At 52.7% G+C, this 22,500-nt stretch overlaps 1 protein-coding gene across 20 annotated transcripts in view, besides 4 other annotated features; it reads left to right on the top strand.

Moving 5' to 3' along the window:
* The window catches only part of TYK2 (tyrosine kinase 2), a 30,040-nt gene extending 18,351 nt beyond the window's left edge, over positions 1 to 11,689 (top strand). For 8 of the 20 annotated variants that reach the window (NM_001406461.1, NM_001385205.1, NM_001385201.1 and 5 more), the window contains 14 exons: positions 41 to 144; positions 267 to 452; positions 624 to 711; positions 2,920 to 3,047; positions 4,084 to 4,219; positions 4,304 to 4,458; positions 5,504 to 5,654; positions 7,613 to 7,710; positions 7,988 to 8,180; positions 8,576 to 8,694; positions 9,124 to 9,296; positions 9,671 to 9,788; positions 11,060 to 11,170; positions 11,254 to 11,689. In NM_001406461.1, coding sequence (NP_001393390.1) covers positions 41 to 144; positions 267 to 452; positions 624 to 711; positions 2,920 to 3,047; positions 4,084 to 4,219; positions 4,304 to 4,458; positions 5,504 to 5,654; positions 7,613 to 7,710; positions 7,988 to 8,180; positions 8,576 to 8,694; positions 9,124 to 9,296; positions 9,671 to 9,788; positions 11,060 to 11,170; positions 11,254 to 11,388 — 1,895 coding nt within the window. In that variant the 3' untranslated portion in view covers positions 11,389 to 11,689. Of the gene's footprint in view, positions 1 to 40; positions 145 to 266; positions 453 to 623; positions 712 to 1,148; positions 1,261 to 2,919; positions 3,048 to 4,083; positions 4,220 to 4,303; positions 4,669 to 5,503; positions 5,655 to 7,339; positions 7,421 to 7,612; positions 7,711 to 7,987; positions 8,181 to 8,575; positions 8,695 to 9,123; positions 9,297 to 9,670; positions 9,789 to 10,737; positions 11,171 to 11,253 lie in introns of those variants that run through there. The other 12 variants (NM_001385202.1, NM_001385203.1, NM_001385207.1 and 9 more) reach the window with 12 other exon arrangements.
* Positions 8,212 to 8,975: an enhancer, noted in NCBI's record as "H3K27ac-H3K4me1 hESC enhancer chr19:10463923-10464686 (GRCh37/hg19 assembly coordinates)". NCBI's record gives its function as "activates a minimal SCP1, AML or CMV promoter by ChIP-STARR-seq in naive H9 embryonic stem cells {active_cell/tissue: H9 hESC(naive)}" and the evidence as "EXISTENCE:reporter gene assay evidence [ECO:0000049][PMID:30033119]".
* Positions 8,261 to 8,310: a silencer, noted in NCBI's record as "silent region_10065". NCBI's record gives its function as "represses an Ori minimal core promoter by ATAC-STARR-seq in GM12878 lymphoblastoid cells {active_cell/tissue: GM12878}" and the evidence as "EXISTENCE:reporter gene assay evidence [ECO:0000049][PMID:35858748]".
* Positions 21,000 to 21,747: an enhancer, noted in NCBI's record as "H3K27ac-H3K4me1 hESC enhancer chr19:10451151-10451898 (GRCh37/hg19 assembly coordinates)". NCBI's record gives its function as "activates a minimal SCP1, AML or CMV promoter by ChIP-STARR-seq in primed H9 embryonic stem cells {active_cell/tissue: H9 hESC(primed)}" and the evidence as "EXISTENCE:reporter gene assay evidence [ECO:0000049][PMID:30033119]".
* Positions 21,748 to 22,495: an enhancer, noted in NCBI's record as "H3K27ac-H3K4me1 hESC enhancer chr19:10450403-10451150 (GRCh37/hg19 assembly coordinates)". NCBI's record gives its function as "activates a minimal SCP1, AML or CMV promoter by ChIP-STARR-seq in primed H9 embryonic stem cells {active_cell/tissue: H9 hESC(primed)}" and the evidence as "EXISTENCE:reporter gene assay evidence [ECO:0000049][PMID:30033119]".

Genomic DNA, 22,500 nt, shown 5'->3' with positions numbered 1-22,500 from the left:
CCCCCAGGCCCGCCCTCCATGACTTGATGCCTGCCCCCAGAAACCTCCAATCTCATCATCATGCGGGGGGCTCGGGCCAGCCCCAGGACACTCAACCTCAGCCAGCTCAGCTTCCACCGGGTTGACCAGAAGGAGATCACCCAGGTGGGTGCAGGGAAGGGGCCCGGGGCAAGGGCAGGGCCCCTGGGGATGTGGGTGCTGGGGGCCCTGGGAGATCAGCTGCTAACTTTCACCATGGCGGTATTCTGTGCCACATGATCCCGCAGCTGTCCCACTTGGGCCAGGGCACAAGGACCAACGTGTATGAGGGCCGCCTGCGAGTGGAGGGCAGCGGGGACCCTGAGGAGGGCAAGATGGATGACGAGGACCCCCTCGTGCCTGGCAGGGACCGTGGGCAGGAGCTACGAGTGGTGCTCAAAGTGCTGGACCCTAGTCACCATGACATCGCCCTGGTGAGTGGGCAGGGCCAGGCCTGGGGGTGTGTCTGTGGAGGAGGTGGCCGGAGGAGGTGGGATGGGAGGGGTGTGTCTGTGGAGGAGGTGGGATGGGAGGGGTGTGTCCGTGGAGGAGGTGGGATGGGAGGGGTCGGCTTTGCAGCCACCTGACCTGCCCGGTCCCCACAGGCCTTCTACGAGACAGCCAGCCTCATGAGCCAGGTCTCCCACACGCACCTGGCCTTCGTGCATGGCGTCTGTGTGCGCGGCCCTGAAAGTGAGTGGGTCCCGCCATACCCATCCCCCTTTGGCAGGCCACCCCTGACTTATACCCACTCCCTGATCTGTACCCCAACCCTCGACCTACACCCCAACCTATGCCTATTTCTCAACTCTCACCTGTACTCTGATCCCGGGCTACACCTTGACCTTCAACCTAGACCCCAACCCCTAACGATATTCCAGCCCATAACTTACATCCCAACACGTCGACCCTCACCTGCCCTCAGTCTCAACCCCCACCCTGATTCCCAACTACATCCCCACTTCCATCAACCTCCCAAACAACCTCTACAGTCCAGCCCCCATCTGCTCCTGGCCCCATCAGCACTATGGCCTCAGGCAGACTCCAGTGCTGATGTGTGCTGATTCTCCTAGGCCTCAGCCCCTGCACATCCAACCCTGCCTAACCCCACCTCTTCCTTTCCTCTGCAGGTAGCTCAAAACTCCTTGTATAGGCTAGGTGTGGTGGCTCACACCTATCCCAGCACTTTGGGAGGCAGAGGTGGGAGGATCGCTTAAACCCAGGAGTTCAAGACCAGCCTGGGTAACATGTCCAGACCCTATCTTTACAAAAAATTTAAAAATCAGGGCCAGGCATGGTGACCTATGCCTGTAGTCCTAGCTACTTGTGAGGCTGGAATGGAAGGATCACTTGAGCCCAGGAGTTCAAGGCTGCAGTGAGCCATGATTGTACCACTGCACTCCAGCCTGGGCGACAGGGCGAGACTCTGTCTCAAAAAATATAATAAATAAATAAAAAATAAAGCCCTTGTACAGAACAACCCTAGACCCACCCATCCCTCAACCCCCCTGTGTGTGTGTGTGTGTGCATCTCCCCCACTTTCCCCTGGACCCTGGCCGACACCCTGACCCACATCCCTCTGACTACTCTGGTACCCAAACATCTCCTACACCCCAACCTCAAGCCCCTAGCCTCTGCTTATCCATGCCCATCCCCCCCATCCCTAGTTGCTTACTTTGTAGGCTCACCTTTATCTCTTTTTTTGTGAGACTAGGGTCTCCCTCTGTTGCCCCGGCTGCAATGCAGTGGTGCCATCATGGCTCACTGAAGCCTCGACCTCCCGGGCTCAAGCGATCCTTCCGCCTCAGCCTCTTGAGCACCTGGGATGACAGGCGTGTGCTATCACACCCGGCTGATTTTTAAAAATTTTTTGTAGAGATGGGGTCTCACTATGTTGCTTAGGCTGATCTCAAACTCCTGGGCTCAAGGGATCTTCCTGCCTCAGCCTCCCAAAGTGACAGGATTGCAGGCATGAGCCACTGTACCCTGCCACCTTTATCTCTTTTTTTTTTTAATTTTTTTGAGACGGAGTCTCACTGTGTCACCCAGGCTGGAATACAGTGGCGTGATCTCGGCTCACTGCAACCTCCGCCTCCCGGGTTCAAGCAATTCTCCTGCCTCAGCCTCCCGAATAGCTGGGATTACAGGCATGTGCCACCATGCCCAGCTAATTTTTTTTTTTTTCTTCTTTTTGAGATGGAGTCTTGCTCTATCGCCCAGGCTGGAGTGCAATGACGTGATCTCGGCTCACTGCAAGCTCCGTCTCCCACCATTCTTCTGCCTCAGCCTCCCAAGTAGCTGGGACTACCGGCGCCCACCACCATGCCTGGCTAATTTTTTTGTCTTTTTAGTAGAGATGGGGTTTCACTGTAATTTTTTTGTATTTTTAGTAGAGTTGGGGTTTCACCATATTGACCAGGCTGGTCTCGAACTCCTGAACTTGTGATCCGCCCGCCTCAGCCTCCCAAAGTGCTGGGATTACAGGCGTGAGCCACCGCGCCCGGCTGTATTTTTTTTTTTAGTAGTGATGGAGTTTCATCATGTTGGGCAGGCTGCCCTTGAACTCCTGACCTCAGGTGATCCACCTGCCTCAGCCTCCCAAAGTGCTGGGATTACAGGCGTGAGCCACTACGCCCAGCCCACCTTTCTCTCTTGAACTTCAACTTCTTCCGTGCCCCATCCCACTTGGACCCCAATGCCCTCATCCACCGCTGCCTCTGCTGCATTCCGCATTTCTTCTCTCCCCAAACTCACTTTCAACCCAGACCAAACTCCACCCACACCTCTGCCCTGACACCTCCCCAGCCACATGCCAAGTCCCTCCCTGGCGTCTCCCCCAATTCCCCGCCATCCAGAGGGCAGAAGCAGGCAGGTTGCCCCAGAGCAGCTGTGTCTTTACAGATATCATGGTGACAGAGTACGTGGAGCACGGACCCCTGGATGTGTGGCTGCGGAGGGAGCGGGGCCATGTGCCCATGGCTTGGAAGATGGTGGTGGCCCAGCAGCTGGCCAGCGCCCTCAGCTACCTGGTGTGTGGCCTGTGTGTGGGGCCTGGGTCGGTCAGGGAGGGCCAGGAGCCCAGGAGTTCGAGACCAGCCTGGGCAACAGGGCGAGACCCCATCTTTTTTGTTTGTTTTGTTTTAGGTGGAGTTTCGCCCTGTCACCCAGGCTGGAGTGCAATGGCATGATCTCGGCTCACTGCAACCTTCGCCTCCCGGGTTCAAATGATTCTCCCGCCTCAGCCTCCCAAGTAGCTGGGATTATAGGCTCCTGCCATCACGCCCAGCTAATTTTTGTATTTTTAGTAGAGATGGGGTTTCACCATGTTGGTCAGGCTGGTCTCGAACTTCTGACCTCGTGATCCATCCGCCTCAGCCTCCCAAAGTGCTGGGATTCCAGGCGTGAGCCACCACGCCCAGCTGGCCCCATCTTTTAAAAATAAACAAATAGCCAGGTGTGGTGGCTCATACCTGTAATCCCAGCAGTTTGGGAGGCCAAGGCGGGTGGATCACCTGAGGTCAGGAGTTTGAGACCAGCCTGGCCAGTATGGCAAAACCTTGCCTCTACTAAAAATACAAAAAAAATTAGCCAATGTGGTAACTTGCACCTGTAGGCCGAGGTACTCAGGAAGTTGAGGTGGGAGGATCACCTGAGCTCAGGAATTTGAGGCCGTAGTAAGCTATGATCACACCACTGCACCCCAGCCTGGGCAGCAGCATAGCTAGACCCCATCTCCACCAAAAATTTAAGAATCAGCTAGGCTGTGGTGATGTGCACCTGTAATTCTCGCTACTTGGAAGGCTTGAGCCCAGGAGTTTGAAGCTGCAGTGAGCTATGTTCGTGCCACTATACTCCAACCTGAGAGACAGAGTGAGACCCTGTCTTAAAAAAAAAAAAAAAAAAAAAAAACAAGAAAAAAATAACCCCCCAAAAAACAAAACAGAAAGAAACCCAGTGATAGTCACAGTTGTCCTTTTCACATTGGCTGTCCCTATGGGGACCAGGTTTGGGGTTGGCGTCTGTGCCTCTCCTGAGTGGCCACACCCCCTCTCCTGCCCACCTCAGGAGAACAAGAACCTGGTTCATGGTAATGTGTGTGGCCGGAACATCCTGCTGGCCCGGCTGGGGTTGGCAGAGGGCACCAGCCCCTTCATCAAGCTGAGTGATCCTGGCGTGGGCCTGGGCGCCCTCTCCAGGGAGGGTGAGTACCTGAGGGGACCTGGGCACAGTGGGGGGCTTCCCCTGCTCCTTTCACCCTTGGTGACCTCTGACCTTGGCCTCCCAGAGCGGGTGGAGAGGATCCCCTGGCTGGCCCCCGAATGCCTACCAGGTGGGGCCAACAGCCTAAGCACCGCCATGGACAAGTGGGGGTTTGGCGCCACCCTCCTGGAGATCTGCTTTGACGGAGAGGCCCCTCTGCAGAGCCGCAGTCCCTCCGAGGTATGTCTAGGAGACCCTTGGGCCCTCCCCGCAGTGGGGGCCCCTCCAAGAAATCCAGAGGACAGAATCAGAGCTCAAAGCTGCATCCCTTCTGGCCTCGTGACTTCAAGTCTCTCTGGGCTACCAGCAGGTGGGCCACTCGCTGGGGCTCAATGTAGTCCCAGCCTTTTTAGGTCCTTGTGGAAGTCACTTGTGCCTGGCACACAGAAGGCAAGTAAGAGACTTGATTTCAGTTTTAGGCAGAGTGACCAGGGCAGCGATGGGAGACGCCCAGGCTGCAGAGTGGGGAAGAAGGGCTGAGGATGCGCCTCACCCAGCAGTGGGGTCAGACAAGGCTTCCCAAAGGAGGTTCATGAGTGTGGTGGTTTTATTTTGAGACGAAGTTCCACTCTAATTGCCCAGGCTGGAATGCAATGGCGTGATCTCAGCTCACTGCAACCTCTGCCTCCTGGGTTCAAGCGATTCTCCTGTCTCAGCCTCCCGAGTAGGGGGGATTACAGGCACATGCCACCACACCCGGCTAATTTTTGTATTTTTTGTAGAGATGGGGTTTCATTATATTGGTCAGGCTGGTCTCAAACTCCTGACCTCAGGTGATCCGCCCACCTCGGCCTCCCAAAGTGCTGGGATTACAGGCATGAGCCACAGTGCCCGGCCCCAGAAGAGGTTTTATCTAAGTGTAGAATTATGCCAACAAGCCTGGCTAGGAAGGGCAGCCTAGGCAGAGTGCATGGCCTGTGCAAAGGCTGAGGCTTCAGTGTATTAAGGAGCTGTGGTCTACAGGAGGGGCAGGAGGGAAGCTTGGGGCAGGAGGCTGACTGTGACACTCCAGCTCTGCATAATCACTGGACCTGGGTCCCAGTCCTGGTTCTACGGCTGTGAGCACGTCCTCCCACTTTGTGGAGCCTCAGTTGCCTCATCTGTATAATGGAACTGATAAGAGCGGGCACCTGGCGGTCCACTCTGGGGACTTGACTCTGCCTCTTGGGGAACGGGTTGGGGGCGAGGGGAGGATGTTGACTCCTCTGGGTCCCTTTCCCAACAGAAGGAGCATTTCTACCAGAGGCAGCACCGGCTGCCCGAGCCCTCCTGCCCACAGCTGGCCACACTCACCAGCCAGTGTCTGACCTATGAGCCAACCCAGAGGCCATCATTCCGCACCATCCTGCGTGACCTCACCCGGCTGCAGCCCCACAGTGAGCTCCATCCCAGTGCTGGGACCCTGGGGAAGTGGGACGGGGCTGGGATCCCTGCTGTATGCCTATAGCGCACGAGAGGTCTCTGCACAGTGGTTCAGGGTGTGTGCCAATTTCTTGCAGTGGCATTCATAAGCATGCCCTGCCTGGCTGCCCTGAGCTCTCATTAATGTATTTATTTATTTATTTGCAATGGAATCTTGCTCTGTCACCCAGCCTGGAGCGCAGTGACGTGATCTTGGCTCACTGCAACCTCCACCTCCCAGGTTCAAGCAATCCTCCCACCTCAGCCTCCCAAGTAGCTGGGATTACAAGCGTGTGCCACCATGCCCGGCTAATTTTTGTATTTTTAGTAGAGGTGGGGTTTTGCCATGTTGGCCAGGCTGGTCTCAAACTCTAGACCTCAAATGATCTATCTGCTTCAGCCTCCCAAATTGCTGGGATTACAGGCGTGAGCCACTGCGCCTGGCCTCCTTAATGTTTTGTCTGGGGAGAGACACAACTTCTTTGGATTAGAGAATTAGACCACTGCAGTTTTTTTTTTCTTTTTAAAAAAGTTTTGTATTGTTCTCTTTAAAAAATTAATATGCTCTTTTTTCTTTTTTTTGAGACGGAGTCTCACTCTGTTGCCAGGCTGGAGTGCAGTGGTGCAATCTTGGCTCACTGCAACCTCCGTCTCCCAGGTTCAAGTAATTGTCCTGCCTCAGCCTCCTGGGTAGCTGGGACTACAGGCGCCCACCACCACGCCGGGCTAATTTTTGTATTTTTAGTAGAGACGGGAATTCACCATGTTGGCCAGGATGGTCTCAGTCTCTTGACCTCGTGATCCACCCGCCTCGGCCTCCCAAAGTGCTGGGATTACAGGCATGAGCCACTGCGCCTGACCTATTTTCTTTTTTTTTTTCTTTCTTTCTTTTTTTTTTTTTTGAGATGGAGTTTTGCTCTTGTTGCACAGGCTGGAGTGCAATGGCACGATCTCGGCCCACTGCAACCTCCGCCTCCTGGGTTCGAGCAATTCTCCTGCCTCAGCCTCCCGAGTAGCTGGGATTACAGGCGTCCACCACCACACCCAGCTAATTTTTGTATTTTTAGTAGAGACGGGGTTTCACTGTGTTGGCTAGGCTGGTCTCAAACTCCTGACCTCAGGTGATCCACCCTCCTCAGCCTCCCAAAGTGTTGGGATTACAGGCGTGAGCCACCACGCCCGGCCTAATATGCCATTTTCAACTGGTCATATCACATTTTTCTTTCTCTTTTTTGTTTTAAAGACTAGGTCTTGCTGTGTTGCCCAGGCAGGAGTGTGGTGGTTATTCAGAGGCACGATCATGGCTCACTGCAGCCTGAGACTCCTGGGCTCTAGGGATCCTCCTGCCTCGGCCTCCCAAAGTGCTGGGATTACAGGTGTGAGCCACCACGCCTGGCCAGTTTTTCTCTTTTCTCTATGAAATATCTGTGCCCTCTACCCAATCTCGGAACTTCCAGATGTCAGGTTTTTCTGTTTTTTCTTTTTCTTTCTTTCTTTCTTTTTTTTTTTTTTAAAGACAGTGTCTCTCTGTGGCCCAGACTCACTGCAGCCTCAAAACTCCTGGGCTCAAACGATCCTCCTACCTCAGCCTCCTGAGTAGCTGGGACCACAGGCATGCACCACCACACCTGGCTAATTTTTTTTTTTAACTTTTTTGTAGAGAGGGGGTTTCACCATGTTGTCCAGGCTGGTCTTGAACTCCCGGGCTCAAGTGATCTTCCCGCCTCGGCCTCCCAAACAGGTGTCAGTTTTGATGCAGCCAACTCTGCATCATTTTGTACAATAAGTGGACTCTTTCAGCTGTTGCAGGAAAAAGTTTTCTTACCTCTAGAATCGGATCCTGGGGTAGCTGTGGCTGGCTTTGTGACTCCCAAGTGTGGGCCTGCTGGGGAAAGGATCGGGGTCAGGCCTTTACCCACCGCAACTCTTCCAGATCTTGCTGACGTCTTGACTGTGAACCCGGACTCACCGGCGTCGGACCCTACGGTTTTCCACAAGCGCTATTTGAAAAAGATCCGAGATCTGGGCGAGGTGAGGGACGGGCCTGAGCTGCTAAAAGGCCCGCCTGGTCGGGAAGGAGTTTGGGGGTTGAGGATAAATTCCTACCTAAGGTGATTCTCAGGAGATGTGGGTGGGACCCTCTGCTTTGAGGGAGGCCTAGGTGCCAAGGAGTCTTAATAGAGCGGAGTAGGCGGGGCCTGGGGTATTCCGAAAGGATCTGCCTGGAGGAGTGGCCCGGGAAATCGGGGGTTGGGGAGTGGTGCAGGGATTGGGGAGGTGGAGCTGACCCTCGTGCGCTCCCGACCAGGGTCACTTCGGCAAGGTCAGCTTGTACTGCTACGATCCGACCAACGACGGCACTGGCGAGATGGTGGCGGTGAAAGCCCTCAAGGCAGACTGCGGCCCCCAGCACCGCTCGGGCTGGAAGCAGGAGATTGACATTCTGCGCACGCTCTACCACGAGCACATCATCAAGTACAAGGGCTGCTGCGAGGACCAAGGTGGGCGGGACCCGGCGAGTCCTAGAGACTTGAGGGGGCGTGGTTAGAGCGTGGGTGTGGCCTTGTGGGCGGGGCCAGTCTGGCCTAGCCAATTAGAGACTCTCAACCCCAGGCTGCAGTACGCGGTTCTTGGCATCTGGGTGAGCGTGGCTGGGCTGCCTCCTTCCCATCTGGGGGGTGCTACCTGCTGGGGCCAGGATGGACGGGAGCCACCAGCAGCTCCCTCAAGTGAGAATGGGGTTCTGGATGGGTCCATCCCACCTGAGAACTGGGTCTAGTGTGCGCGGGTCTTGGCCTTCCCTCCCGACCTTGGAGGGGCTCTGCTGGGCTCAAGGTAGGCGGTCCCCGGCCCGCCCTCTATCGTCCCCCACCGGGGCCGCCCCTCTCCGCGGCAGGCGAGAAGTCGCTGCAGCTGGTCATGGAGTACGTGCCCCTGGGCAGCCTCCGAGACTACCTGCCCCGGCACAGCATCGGGCTGGCCCAGCTGCTGCTCTTCGCCCAGCAGATCTGCGAGGTTGGTCGGCCCCGCCCCTGCTTCTGGAGCTTGCCCCTTCCTCTTCAGCTTGGGCTGGCCTGAGCGATCCGGTGCAGTCTGCTCTCACGCTCCGCCCCTGCTCGTTTGCCCAGGCTGTCTTGTCCTTGCACTGACCTCCGAACTGTTTGGCTTGCTTGGCCACACCCCCTCCTCCCAAGGGACCACGCACAGCCGGCTCGGCCCCTCCCAACTCGCCCTCCTGCCCAGCTTTGCTCGTCTAGCCCCGTCCCTGCTTTCTGGCTCAGCCTCCTTTTGCTTGGTGCCACGTGCCATCCGGCCCTCTCCAGCGGCCGGGTAGCCACCGGCCTGACCTGACTGTCCCCCAGCCCTCCTGGCTGCTCAGGTCCTGCCGCCGCCCCCGGCCGAACCCCGCCCCACTGAAACTCACGAGCCCTGCCCCGTCCCCAGGGCATGGCCTATCTGCACGCGCAGCACTACATCCACCGAGACCTAGCCGCGCGCAACGTGCTGCTGGACAACGACAGGCTGGTCAAGATCGGGGACTTTGGCCTAGCCAAGGCCGTGCCCGAAGGCCACGAGTACTACCGCGTGCGCGAGGATGGGGACAGCCCCGTGTTCTGGTGACCAGGCGGGGTGCAGTCTGAGGGGGTGCTGGGGTCACTTGGAACAGGCAGGGTGGAGTAGACGGATGCTGGGTATCATGATAGGGCATGATCCCAGTGAAGCGCGGCGGGGCCTAGCGGTGCGGGGGTGGGGCCTATGGAGGCAAGGGGCGGTGTATAGAGTGCGGCTTGGCCTGGTGGGCGGGGTTAACCCGGCCTAGCCAATGAGCGGCCTAGCCAATGAGCATATCACCCCGCTCAGGCTGCGCTCTTAAGGGTGGGTCCCAACTGAGCCCAGAGGGTCCTTCAGTCTCAGGTGAGGGCTTCAGCCTGGTCTGATCCCCAAGCCCTCAGTGCAGCCCCCCGTGGCCTGAGTGCCCCCCTCCCCCTAGGTATGCCCCAGAGTGCCTGAAGGAGTATAAGTTCTACTATGCGTCAGATGTCTGGTCCTTCGGGGTGACCCTGTATGAGCTGCTGACGCACTGTGACTCCAGCCAGAGCCCCCCCACGGTGAGAGCCAGGCCCGCAGCCCCACCGGGAGTTTGCTAGAGCAATTAGAAAGGCATAGGCTGGGCCAGGCGCGGTGGCTCAAGCCTGTAATCCCAGCACTTTGGGAGGCCGAGGCGGGCGGATCACGAGGTCAGGAGATCGAGACCAACCTGGCTAACACGGTGAAACCCGTCTCTACTAAAAATACAAAAAAAATTAGCCAGGCGTGGTGGCGGGCGCCTGTAGTCCCAGCTACTCAGGAGACTGAGGCAGGAGAATGGCATGAACCCGGGAGGCGGAGCTTGCAGTGAGCCGAGATCTCCCGACTGCACTCCAGCTGGGTGACAGAGCGAGACTCCGTCTAAGACAGGACAGGACGGAGAGAGAGAGAAAGAAAAGAAAGGAAAGAAAGGCATAGGCCGGGCGCGGTGGCTGACACCTGTAATCGCAGCACTTTGGGAGGCCGAGGCGGGCAGATCACGAGGTCAGGAGATCGAGACCAGCCTGGCCAACATGGTGAAACCCCGTCTCTACTAAAAATACAAAAATTAGCCGGGCGTGGTGGCAGGTGCCTGTAATCCCAGCTACTCAGGCGGCTGAGGCAGGGAGAATTGCTTGAACCCGGTAGGCGAAGGTTGCAGTGAGCCGAGATCATGCCACTGCACTCCAGCCTGGGTGAAAGAGCGAGAGACTGTCTCAAAAAAAAAATTCTGGACGGTAAGAACAATCTGCTGTGAGGCTTAATAATAACGGCAAACACCTGACTCACGCTTACTCTATGAATATTAGTTTAACGTTCACAGTAATCCCAGGTGGCAGATGTTATTACCCTATTTTACGGATGAGAAAACAGGCCCAGAGAAGTGAACTCAAATTCAAAGTCACACAGCTGAGAAGTGTAAGAGGTGGGATTGGAACCCATGCAGTCGATTTCATGAAGTTGCAGAGTGATTTCTTTTTCTTTTTTGAGATGGAGTTTCACACTTGTATCCCAGGCTGGAGTGCAATGGCACAATCTCGGCTCACTGCAACCTCCGCCTCCCAGGTTCAGACGATCCTCCTGCCTCAGCCTCCCAAGTAGCTGGGATTACGGGCGCCTGCCATTATGCCCAGCTAATTTTTGTATTTTTAGTAGAGATGGGGTTTCACCATGTTGGCCAGGCTGGTCTCGAACTCCTGACCTCAGGTGATCCACCCACCTCAGCCTTCCAAAGTGCTGGGATTACAGGCATGAGCCACCGTGCCTGCCTTTCATTGCCTCTTGAAAAGAGCTTGTCTTGTTTATACTGTAGAAATTCCTTGAGCTCATAGGCATTGCTCAGGGTCAGATGACAGTTCTGAGACTCACTGAGTTGCTGGAACGAGGGGAGAGGCTGCCACGGCCCGACAAATGTCCCTGTGAGGTGAGACTTCCTTTGTCTTTCCCTGACCCCACTATCCTGCTGTGGAGAGGGCAGCCCCCACCAGCCCTGGTTTTTCCTTCTAGGTCTATCATCTCATGAAGAACTGCTGGGAGACAGAGGCGTCCTTTCGCCCAACCTTCGAGAACCTCATACCCATTCTGAAGACAGTCCATGAGAAGTACCAAGGCCAGGCCCCTTCAGTGTTCAGCGTGTGCTGAGGCACAATGGCAGCCCTGCCTGGGAGGACTGGACCAGGCAGTGGCTGCAGAGGGAGCCTCCTGCTCCCTGCTCCAGGATGAAACCAAGAGGGGGATGTCAGCCTCACCCACACCGTGTGCCTTACTCCTGTCTAGAGACCCCACCTCTGTGAACTTATTTTTCTTTCTTGGCCGTGAGCCTAACCATGATCTTGAGGGACCCAACATTTGTAGGGGCACTAATCCAGCCCTTAAATCCCCCAGCTTCCAAACTTGAGGCCCACCATCTCCACCATCTGGTAATAAACTCATGTTTTCTCTGCTGGAGCCTGTGATTTTTGGAGCCCTCTTCAAGAAAGCTGGGTTAGCTGGGAGTCTGGTCTCCTGTGGACAGCAGCTAGCATGAGACAGCGCAGAGGTGGCTGGATTCAACTGTTTAACTTTTTTTTTTTTTTCTTTTTGAGACAGAGTCTTGCTCTGTCGCCCAGGCTGGAGTGCAGTGGCGTGATCTAGGCTCACTGCAAGCTCCGCCTCCTGGGTTCACACCATTCTCCTGCCTCAGCCTCCCGAGTAGCTGGGACTACAGGTGACCGCCTCCATGCCTGGCTAATTTTTTGTATTTTTAGTAGAGTTGAGGTTTCACCTTATTGGCCAGGCTGGTCTTGAACTCCTGACCTCAGGTGATCCACCTGCCTCCGCCTCCCAAAGTGCTGGGATTACAGGTGTGAGCCATTGCGCCTGGCCAATAACTACTTGTTGAATACACAAAGTATTTGGTCGGGGCGGTCACAAGCCACATAGATTAGACTGCCAGTTTCACCCTTTCACATTTGTGTGACCTCAGGCTAATGGCTTCACCTCTCTGGGCCTTAGTCCTCCATTATGGGAGCTTCACACTTGCTATCTCATAGGACTCATGTAAAGAGCTCATGAGGTGGTGTCTGTGAAATGCTGAGCAGAAAGACATGCAAACAAGTGCTTAATAAATATACAATATTGGCCGGGCACGGCAGCTCACGCCTGTAATCCCAGCACTTTGGGAGGCCACGAGGATCACAAGGTCAGGAGATTGAGACCATCCTGGCTAACACGGTGAAACCCCGTCTACTAAAAATACAAAAAAATTAGCCGGGCGTGGTGGCGGGTGCCTGTAGTCCCAGCTACTCGGGAGGCTGAGGCAGGAGAATGTCATGAACCCAGGAGGCGGAGATTGCAGTGAGCCGAGATTGCACCACTGCACTCCAGCCTGGGTGACAGAGAAAGACTCTGTCTCAAAAAAATAATAATTAAATAAATAAATATACAATATTATTGTTGACTGGATGCAGTGGCTCATTGCTTGTAACCCCAGCACTTTGGGAGGCTGAGGCAGGAGGATCCCTTGAGTCCAGGAGTTCGAGACCAGCCTGGGCAACATAGGGAGATCCTGTCCGTATTTTTATTTATTTATTTATTTGTTTATTTATTTTTGAGGCAGTTTCACTGTTCTCCAGGCTGGAGTGCAATGGTGCTATCTCGGCTCACTGCAACCTCCCCCTCCTGAGTTCAAGCGATTATCCTGCCTCAGCCTCCGGAGTAGCTGGGATTACAGGCGCACGCCACCACACTCGGCTAATTTTGTATTTTTAGTAGAGACGGGGTTACATCTTGTTGGTCAGGCTGCTCTCAAACTCCTGACCTCAGGTGATCTGCCCGCCTCGGCCTCCCAAAGTGTTGGGATTACAGGCGTGAGCCACTACACCTAGCCTATATTATTTTAAAATAAAAATTTTAAAAATGAAGTTGGCTGGATAGAGTGGCTCACGCCTGTAATCCCAGCACAGCACTTTGAAAGGCCAAGGCGGGCGGATCAGTTGAGGTCAGGAGTTTGAGACCAGCCTGCCCAACATGGCAAAACCCTTGTCTACTAAAAATACAAAAATTAGCTGGGCATTGTGGTAGGCGTCTGTAATCCCAGCTACTTGGGAGGCTGAGGCAGGAGAATCACTTGAACCCAGGAGGCAGAGGTTGCCATGAGCCAAGATCAAGCCATTGCACTCCAGCCTGGGTGACAAGAGCAAAACTCTGTCTCAAAAAAAAATAAAAAAAGACACATGCACACGTATGTTTATTGCGGCACTATTCACAATAGCAAAGACTTGGAACCAACCCAAATGTCCATCAATGATAGACTGGATTAAGAAAATGTGGCACATATACACCATGGAATACTATGCAGCTATAAAATAGGATGAGTTCATATCTTTTGCAGGGACACGAATGAAGCTGGAAACCATCATTCTCAGCAAACTATCACAAGGACAGAAAACCAAACACCGCATGTTCTCATTCATAGGTGGGAACTGAACAATGAGAACACTTGGACACATGGCAGGGAACAACACACACCCACACCGGGGTCTGTTGTGGGGTAGGGGCCTGCGGGAGGGATAGCATTAGGAGAAATACCTAATGTAGATGATGAGTTAATGGGTGCAGCAAACCAACATGGCACATGTATACCTATGTAACAAACCACATTGTGCACATGTACCCTGGAACTTAAAAAAAAAAAAAAAAAAAAGGAGTCTGAAACCATGAACAATCATCGTTATTTACCAAGTTTGTTCTTGTTGAGGAAAAAAATACAAAAATTAGCCAGGTGTGGTGGCACACACCTGTAATCTCAGCTACTCTAGAGGCTGAGGCAGGAGAATTGCTTGAACTGGAAGGCAGAGTGCATTGAGCTGAGATCGCACCACTGCACTCCAGCCTGGGCGATAGAGCAAGACTGTCTGAAAAAAGAAAAGAAAAAGGTATTATTGTTATTCTGGTGTTTGGCAAAGCGTTTCTACTTAGCCTGTGTGACTTGAGATGGTGGGTCAGACACATTTGTGAAAGGCAGTTAAATATCCCCAGAAGGACTTCTTTTGTGGGGCTGGGGACTGGGTCTCGCTCTGTCACCCACACTGGAGTACAGTGGTGCTATTATAGCCCATGGCAACCTTGACCTCCCAGGCGCAAGTGATCCTCCCACCTCAGCCTCTGTAGGAGCTGGGACTATAGGCTCCTGCCACGTCACCTGGCTAATTTTTTTTTTTTTTTTTTTTTTTTTTTGAGAGGGAGTCTCACTATGTCACCCAGGCTGGAGTGCAATGGTACGGTCTAGGCTCAGTGCGACCTCCACCTCCAGGGTTCAAGCGATTCTCCTGCTTCAGCCTCCCCAGTAGCTGGGATTACAGGCGCCCGCCACCACGCCTGGCTGATTTTTGTATTTTTAGTTGAGACAGGATTTCACCATGTTGGCCAGGCTGGTCTCGAACTCCTGACCTCAGGTGATCCACCCACCTCAGCCTCCGAAAGTGCTGGGATTACAGGTGTGAGCCACCATGCCTGGCCATCTGGCTAATTTTAAAATTTTTTGTAGACACAGCGTCTTACTCTGCTGCCCAGCCTGGTCTCAAACTCCTGGGCTCAAGTGATCCTCCCACCTTAGCCTCTTGAGTAGTAGGATAACCACTCAATTTGTTTAGAGCAGTTTTAGGTTTACAGCAAAGTTGAGTGGAAAATACAGAGTTCTCCTATATCCCCTCCCTCCCATCCCCCTGCACAACCTCCCTTGCTGACCTATCCTGTACCACAGTGATACATGTGTTAGAATCTATGAACCTCGGTGACTCATGCCTGTAATTCCAGCACTTTGGGAGGTCAGGAGTTCGAGACCAGCCTGGGCAACATGGTGAAACCCCATCTCTACTAAAAATACAAAAACTAGCCAGGCATGGTGGCAGGCACCTGTACTCCCAGCTACTTAGGAGGCTGAGGCAAGAGAATTGCTTGAACCCAGGAGGTGGTGGTGGAGGTTGCAGTGAGCCAAGATCATGCCACTGCACTCCAGCCTGAGCGGCAGAGCAAGACTCTGTCTGAAAAAAAAAATCTATGAACCTCCACTGACATATCATTTTCTCCTGAGGTCTGTACTTTACATGAGGGTTCACTCTTGCTGTTGTACGTTCTGTGGGGCTGGACAAACGTATAAGGCATGAACCCACCAATATAGTATCACATGGAGTAGTTTCACTGCGCTAAACGTCATTCATGCGCTGCCTGTTCATCCCTCTCTTCTCACTAACCCCTGGCAACTGCTGATCTGTTATTTACTGTCCCCATAGTTTTGAAACAGAGTCTTGCTCTGTCATCCAGGCTGGAGTGCAGTGGCGCAATCTCTGCTCACTACAACCTCCGCCTCCCACGCTTAAGCTAATTTCTGTATTTTTTGTAGAGGCGAAGTTTCTCCATGTTACCCAGGTTGATGAAGTCCCGGGCTTAAATGATCCCTCTACCTCAGCCTCCCAAAGTGCTGGGCTTTCAGGTATGAGCCACCACACCCGCCCAATAGATCATTTATTTTTAGTTCTGAATAAAAAAATAAAAATACAAACAAGGTCCCCAATTGCGTTTGGTTGAGGCCAGTTTTCTGTAAGTCTCTTTTAGTTCTGAAAAAATAAAATAAATAAAAATACAGGGCCGGGCACAGTGACTCACGCCTGTAATCCCAGCACTTTGGGAGGCCAAGGCAGGCGGATCACCTGAGGTCAGGAGTTCAAGACCAACATGGCCAACATGGCAAAACCCCATCTCTACTAAAAATACAAAAATTAGCCGGATGCGGTGGCGTGTGCCTGTAATCCCAGCTACTCAGGAGGCTGAGGCAGGAGAATCACTTAAACCCAGGAGGCGGAGGTTGCAGTGAGCTGAGATTGTGCCATTGCACTCCAGTCTGGGCAACAAGAGTGAAACTCCATCTCAAAAAATAAAATAAAATAAAAAATAAAAATAAATAAAAATACAAACAAAGTCCCCAATTGCATTTGCTCGAGGCCAGTTTTCTTACGTCTCTTTTGGTCTGTGGGTTCCTCTTTCTGTCTTTTGCCCCCTTGCAACATATTTGTGGATGAAACTAGGTTGTTTGTCTTGTTGACTTTTTTTTTTGAGATGGAGCCTTGCTCTGTCGCCCAGGCTGGAGTGCAGTGGCACGATGTCGGCTCACTGCAACCTCTGCCTCCTGGGTCCAAGTGATTCTCCTGCCTCAGCCTCCTGAGTAGCTGGGATTACAGGCGTGGGGCCAGTACGCCTGGCTAATTTTTGTATTTTTAGTAGAGATGGGGTTTCGCCATGTTGGCCAGGCTGGTCTCGAACTCCTAACCTCAGGTGATCTGCTCGCCTCAGCCTCCCAAAGTGCTGGAATTACAGTCATGAGCCACTGCGCCTGTCATGTTTTCTTCTTTTTCTGCATTGCTATTAAAAATTTTGGCTGGGGCCGGGCGCAGTAGCTCATGCCTGTAATCCCAACTCTTTGGGAGGCCAAGGTGGGTGAATCACCTGAGGTCAGGAGTTAAAGACCAGCCTGGCCAACATGGTGAAACCCCTGTCTCTACTAAAAATACAAAAATTAGCTGGGTGTGGTGGCGGGCGCCTGTTATCTCAGCTACTTGGGTGGCTGAGGCAGGAGAATCACTTGAACCTGGGAGGTGGAGGTTGTAGTGAGCCGAGATCGTGCCACCGCACTCCAGCCTGGGCGACAGAGCAAGACTTAATCTCAAAAAAAAAAAAAGAAAAGAAAAAATTGTTTCCTCATAATCGTAAAGCTGTTATACTCACTGCAGGCACAGCTAGTACATTTTGCTCAACCCCACAGGCTCCGTTCCCTTTACGAGGTATTTATTTATTTATTTATTTTTATTTTTGCGACGGAGTCTCTCTCCTCTGTCATCCTGGCTGGAGTGCAGTGGCATGATCTCGGCTCACTGCAACCTCGGCCTCCAGGGCTCAGTCGGTTCTTGGGCCTCAGTCTTCCAAGTAGCTGTAAGTACAGGCATGCGCCACCACGTCCGGTGAATTTTTTGTATTTTTAGTTGCCATGTTGGCCAGGCTTTTACTAGCTATTTATAATATGCTTGAGTCACTCACAGGAATGAAATACTGTCAGCATCAATAGTTAGCAGCTCTTTCAAAATACATTTTATTGCCTCTATAAGAAACCTTAACTATTCTATTAGTCCAGTAATTCCAAATGGTCTTATTATTTCTTGGGTTTTGTTTGTTTGTTTGTTTGTTTTTGAGACGTTGTTTCTCTCTTGTTGCCCAAGCTGGAGTGCAATGGTGTGACCTCGGCTCACTGCAAACTCCTCCAAGGTTCAAGTGATTCTCCGGCCTCAGCCTCCTGAGTAGCTGGGATTACAGGCACGAGCCACCATGTCTGGCTAATTTTTTGTATTTTTAGTAGAGACTGGGTTTCCTCATGTTAGTCAGGCTGGTCTCGAACTCCTGACCTCAGGTGATCCATCCGCTTCAGCCTCCCAAAGTCCTGGGATTATAGGCATGAGCCACCGCACCTGGCTCGTCTTATTATTTCTATACATAATATATGCTCTTTTGGCTGGGCGTGGTAGCTCAAGCCTGGTGGCAGACGCCTGTAATCCCAGCTACTTGGGAGGCTGAGGCAGGAGAATCGCTTGGACCTGGAAGGCAGAGGTTGCAGTGAGCCAAGACTGAACCACCTCACTCCAGCCTGGGCAACAGAGTGAGAACCCATCTCAAAAAATACTGATAATAATAAGATCATCTTCAGAACTCAGTTCCTGGTGCATGAAGAGATTCAATACAGCCCCCTCACTCTCAGTTCTTAGAAAGAAGAATATGCCAGCCTGACCAACATGGTGAAACCCCCGTCTCTAATAAAAATACAAAAATTAGCTGGGTGTGGTGGCGCACGCCTGTGATCCCAGCTACTCAGGAGGCTGAGGCAGGAGAATCGCTTGAACCTGGGAGGTGGAGATTGCAGTGAGCCCAGCCTGGGAGACAGAGCAAGACTCATTCTCAAAAAAAAAAAAAGAAGAAGAATATGAAAGAGATAGGATCAATAACTACCTTCATTGTTTAATAGCCTAAGAGTGAAAGCCCAGCACAGTGGCTCACCCCTGTAATAATCCCAGCACTTTGGGAGGTTGAGTTGGGAGGATCACTTGAGCCCAGGGGTTCGAGAACAGCCTGGGCAATATGTCAAAAGCTCCTCTGTAGAAAAAATACAAAAATTAGCCGAGTGTAGTGGCACACACCTATAGTCCCAGCTACTAGGGAGGCTGAGGTGGGAGGATCACCTGAGCCTGGGAGGTCAAGGTTGCAGTGAGCCATGATTATGTCACTGCATTCCAGCCTGGGAGACAGAGCCAGACCCTGTCTCAGGAAGAAGAAGAAAAAAAAAAAAGCCAAATCTTTTTATCCCAGGATGTCTGAAAAGGACAGAGTCTATGGAGCATGGATGCAGAAAAGTAGTTATTCCTACCAGAAAAAAAAAAAATGAAATGTGGACACAGCCACTCAAGATCAGAGACTCAACCAGTGAAAGCAATTAGCTTCAATTTCATTGTCACCAGGAGGGCGCACACCAGAGAACCTGGGAGAAAGCCTGGGCTAGAGCCCTTAGCATTCTCAGTGTTACTGGTGCTGTGGTTCAACAACCTTTGTGGGAATGAGGAGAACCAGAGACCATCACCATCACACGTAAAAAGGATCCTATAGCAACAATGTGGCTGTCAAAAATCAGCTGGAGGCCAGGCGCGGTGGCTCACGCCTGTAATCCTAGCACTTTGGGAGGCCGAGGCGGGCGGATCACCTGAGGTCAGGAGTTTGAGACTAGCCTGGTCAACATGGTGAAACCCCGTCTCTACTAAAAATGCAAAAAATTAGCTGGGTGTGGTGGTGCATGCCTGTAATCCCAGCTACTTGGGAAGTTGAGGCGGGAGAATCACTTGAACCTGGGAGGCAGAGGTTGCAGTGAGCCCAGACTATGCCACTGCACTCCAGCCTGGGTGACAGACTGAGACCCTGTCTCAAAAAAAAAAAAAAAATCAGCTGGAGCTTAAATTATACATTGTTTGCAATCCAGACTGTACTTGCTTTCTTGTCAATGGCTTGAGATATGTGCAGAGGCCCCTTAAACATGTGTAGGTGACCTTTCTCTGTCGCCCAGGCTGGAGTGCAGGGGCACAATCTCAGCTAACTGCAACCTCCACTTCCCGGGCTCAAGCAATCCTCCCGCTGCAGCCTCCTGAGTAGCTGGGACTACAGGTGTGTGCCATCAAGCTTGGCTGATTTTTTTGTACTTTTTTTTTTTTTTTCGAGATGGAGTCTCGCTCTGTCGCCCAGGCTGGAGTGCAGTGGCGCAATCTCAGCTCACTGCAAGCTCTGCCTCCCGGGTTCACACTATTCTCCTGCCTCAGCCTCCCAAGTAGCTGGTACTACAGGCGCCCGCCACCATGCCCAGCTAATTTTTGTATTTTTTTTAGTAGAGACGGGGTTTCACCGTGTTAGCCAGGATGGTCTCGATCTCCTGACCTCGTGATCCGCCCGCCTCGGCCTCCCAAAGTGCTGGGATTACAGGCGTGAGCCACTGCACCTGGCCGATTTTTTGTATTTTTAGTAGAGACAGGGTTTTGGCATGCTGCCCAGGCTGGTCTGGAACTCCCGACCTCAAGGGATCCGCCTGTCTAGGCCTCCCAAAGTGTTAAGATTACAGGTGTGAGCCACCACGCCTGGCCCAGAAATACTCTTTTTTTTTTTTTTTGAGATGGAGTCTCACTCTGTTGCCCAGCCTGGATGGAGTGCAGTGGCGCGATCTCGGCTCACTGCAAGCTCCGCCTTCTGGGTTCACGCCATTCTCCTGCCTCAGCCTCCCGAGTAGCTGGGACTACAGGCACCTGCCACCATTTTTTTTTGTATTTTTAGTAGAGACGGGGCTAATTTTTTTTTGTATTTTTAGTAGAGATGGGGTTTCACCGTGTTAACCAGGATGGTCTCGATCTCCTTACCTCGTGATCTGCCCGCCTCAGCCTCCCAAAGTGCTAGGATTACAGGCGTGAGCTACCACACCTGGCCCAGAAATACTTCTTTATCAGAAATATTACTGGCGGGTGTAGCAGGGCACGCCTATAATCCCAGCACTTTGGGAGGTCGAGGCAGGCAGATCCCTTAAGCTTAGGAGTTCAAGACCAACCTGGGCAATATGGTGAAAGCCGTCTCTACAGAAAATTAGCCAGGCACAGTGGTGTGTACCTGTGGTCTCAGCTCCTAGGGAGGCTGAGGTGGGAGGATCACTTGAACCCAGGAGGCTGAGATTGCAGTTAGCTGAGATTGTGCCCCTGCACTCCAGCCTAGGCGACACGGTGAGACTCTGTTTCAAAAAACAAAAAAGAAATATGACTTATTTACAAATATTTCTTTCTTTTTTATTTTTAGAGACAGGGTCTCACTATTACGTAAGTATTATAAATTATATATATATGTTTGTTTGTTTGTTTGTTTTTCTGAGACAGAGTCTTGCTCTGTCACCCAGGCTGGAGTGCAGCGGCACAATCTCCACTCACTGCAACCTCCGCCTCTTGGGTTCAAGTGATTCTCCTGCCTCAGCCTCCTGAGTAACTGGGACTACAGGTGCCCGCCACAATGCCCAGCTAATTTTTTATATTTTTGGTGGAGATGGGGTTTCACTGTGTTAGCCAGGATGGTCTCGATTTCCTGACCTCGTCATCCACCTACCTCAGCCTCCCAAAGTGCTGCTAGGATTACAGACGTGAGCCAGTAAGTCCGACATCTTTTTTTTTTTTTTTTTTTTTTGTGGAAACAGGGTCTCACTGTGTCTCCCAGGCTGGAGTGCAGGGGCACAATCTCGACTCACTGCAGCTTTGACCTCCCAGGCTCAAGCGATCCTCTCACCTCAGCCTTCCAAGGAGCTGGGACTACAGGCACCAGGCCCATGCTACTGGTCCCTGCTGTTTACAAATACACTAGACTTGGGTTTTAGCTGCTCTCTCAACACCAGGTGGGAAATGGATTGTTCGGAAGGTAGAGGAATAGAGGAGGGACCTGCTTAGGAAGGTGGGGGTGCTCTAGATGAGAGAGGAGGTGCTGTGACCTCAAGGTCTGGGGAAAGTGGGTGAGTGCAGGGCCCCATCAAGGCTCTCAACAAGGCCTCTCTCTCTGGAGCTCAGATGTGAAGCCCAGAAGGCAGGTCAGAGGCCTGAGGTCAGAGGCAGGTCAAAGGTGGGGGTCCCACCTGGTCCCCTTGGCGCCTTCCCTTGGAATGCAGTGACCAGCTGCCTGGAAGGGTGGGCAAGGGGACAACAGGATGGGGTAAAGGCCAGTTACAAGTAGAATCCTGGAAGGCCGGGCGCAGTGGCTCACGCCTGTAATCCCAACACTTTGGGAGGCCAAGGCGGGCAGCTCACTTGAGGTCAGAAGTTTGAGACCAGCTTGGCCAACATGGTGAAACCCCGTCTCTACCAAAAAGTACAAAAATTAGCCGGGCGTGGTGGCACATGCCTGTAATCCCAGCTACTCGGGAGGCTGAGGCAGGAAAATCGTTTGAACCCGGGAGGCAGAGGCTGCAGTGAGCCGAGATCCCGCCACTGCACTCCAACCTGGGTGACAGAGTGAGACTCTGTCTCAAAACAAACAAACAAAAACCAAGTAGAATCCTGGATAGACAGTGGCTCAGGGACTCAGCTGTCCCCAAATCACCTACCTTAGCTCTTTGTGCAGGGGATGGGGGATCCCCAAGATCTTCAAAGATAGGGAGGTATCCTCAAGATCTTCAAAGGTGGCCAGGCGTGGTGGCTCACGCCTGTAATCGCAACACTTTGGGAGGTCAAGATGAGAGGAGGCCATCTTAAGGCCAGGAGTTCAAGACCAGTCGGGGCAACATAGCAAGACTCTGCTTCTGTTTCTGTTTTTGTTTTTGTTTTTTAATGTTTCCTCGAAATCCCACCTTAACATCTACACAATGGTGCCTACAGTTTTCCCCATTAACTTCCTCTCTGGGGACAGAATATTCCCCTACCCACCTAAGTTCAGCCAGAAGGAGATGCCTCATCCCCCCCACCCAGGCTTCCCAGTGCTGAGAACAAAAGAAACCAGTTTAGTTAGCATTTCCTGTGAATTCAAATGGGGGCCAGCAGTGCAACTGGGACCAGCCCATTCCCTGGGGGAGACTCAGCAGTGCTGGCCACTTTGCAGAGCCCCGTCTGGGTCCCCCACCCTGGCCCCCAAGGGCCACAGCATCCCCTTCCACCCACAGGCCTGGGCAAGGTGCAGTCC

The sequence above is a fragment of the Homo sapiens genome, chromosome 19 (genome assembly GCF_000001405.40).
Source record: "Homo sapiens chromosome 19, GRCh38.p14 Primary Assembly".
NCBI lineage: Eukaryota > Metazoa > Chordata > Mammalia > Primates > Hominidae > Homo > Homo sapiens.
This window is presented reverse-complemented; position numbering and strand designations above follow the sequence as displayed.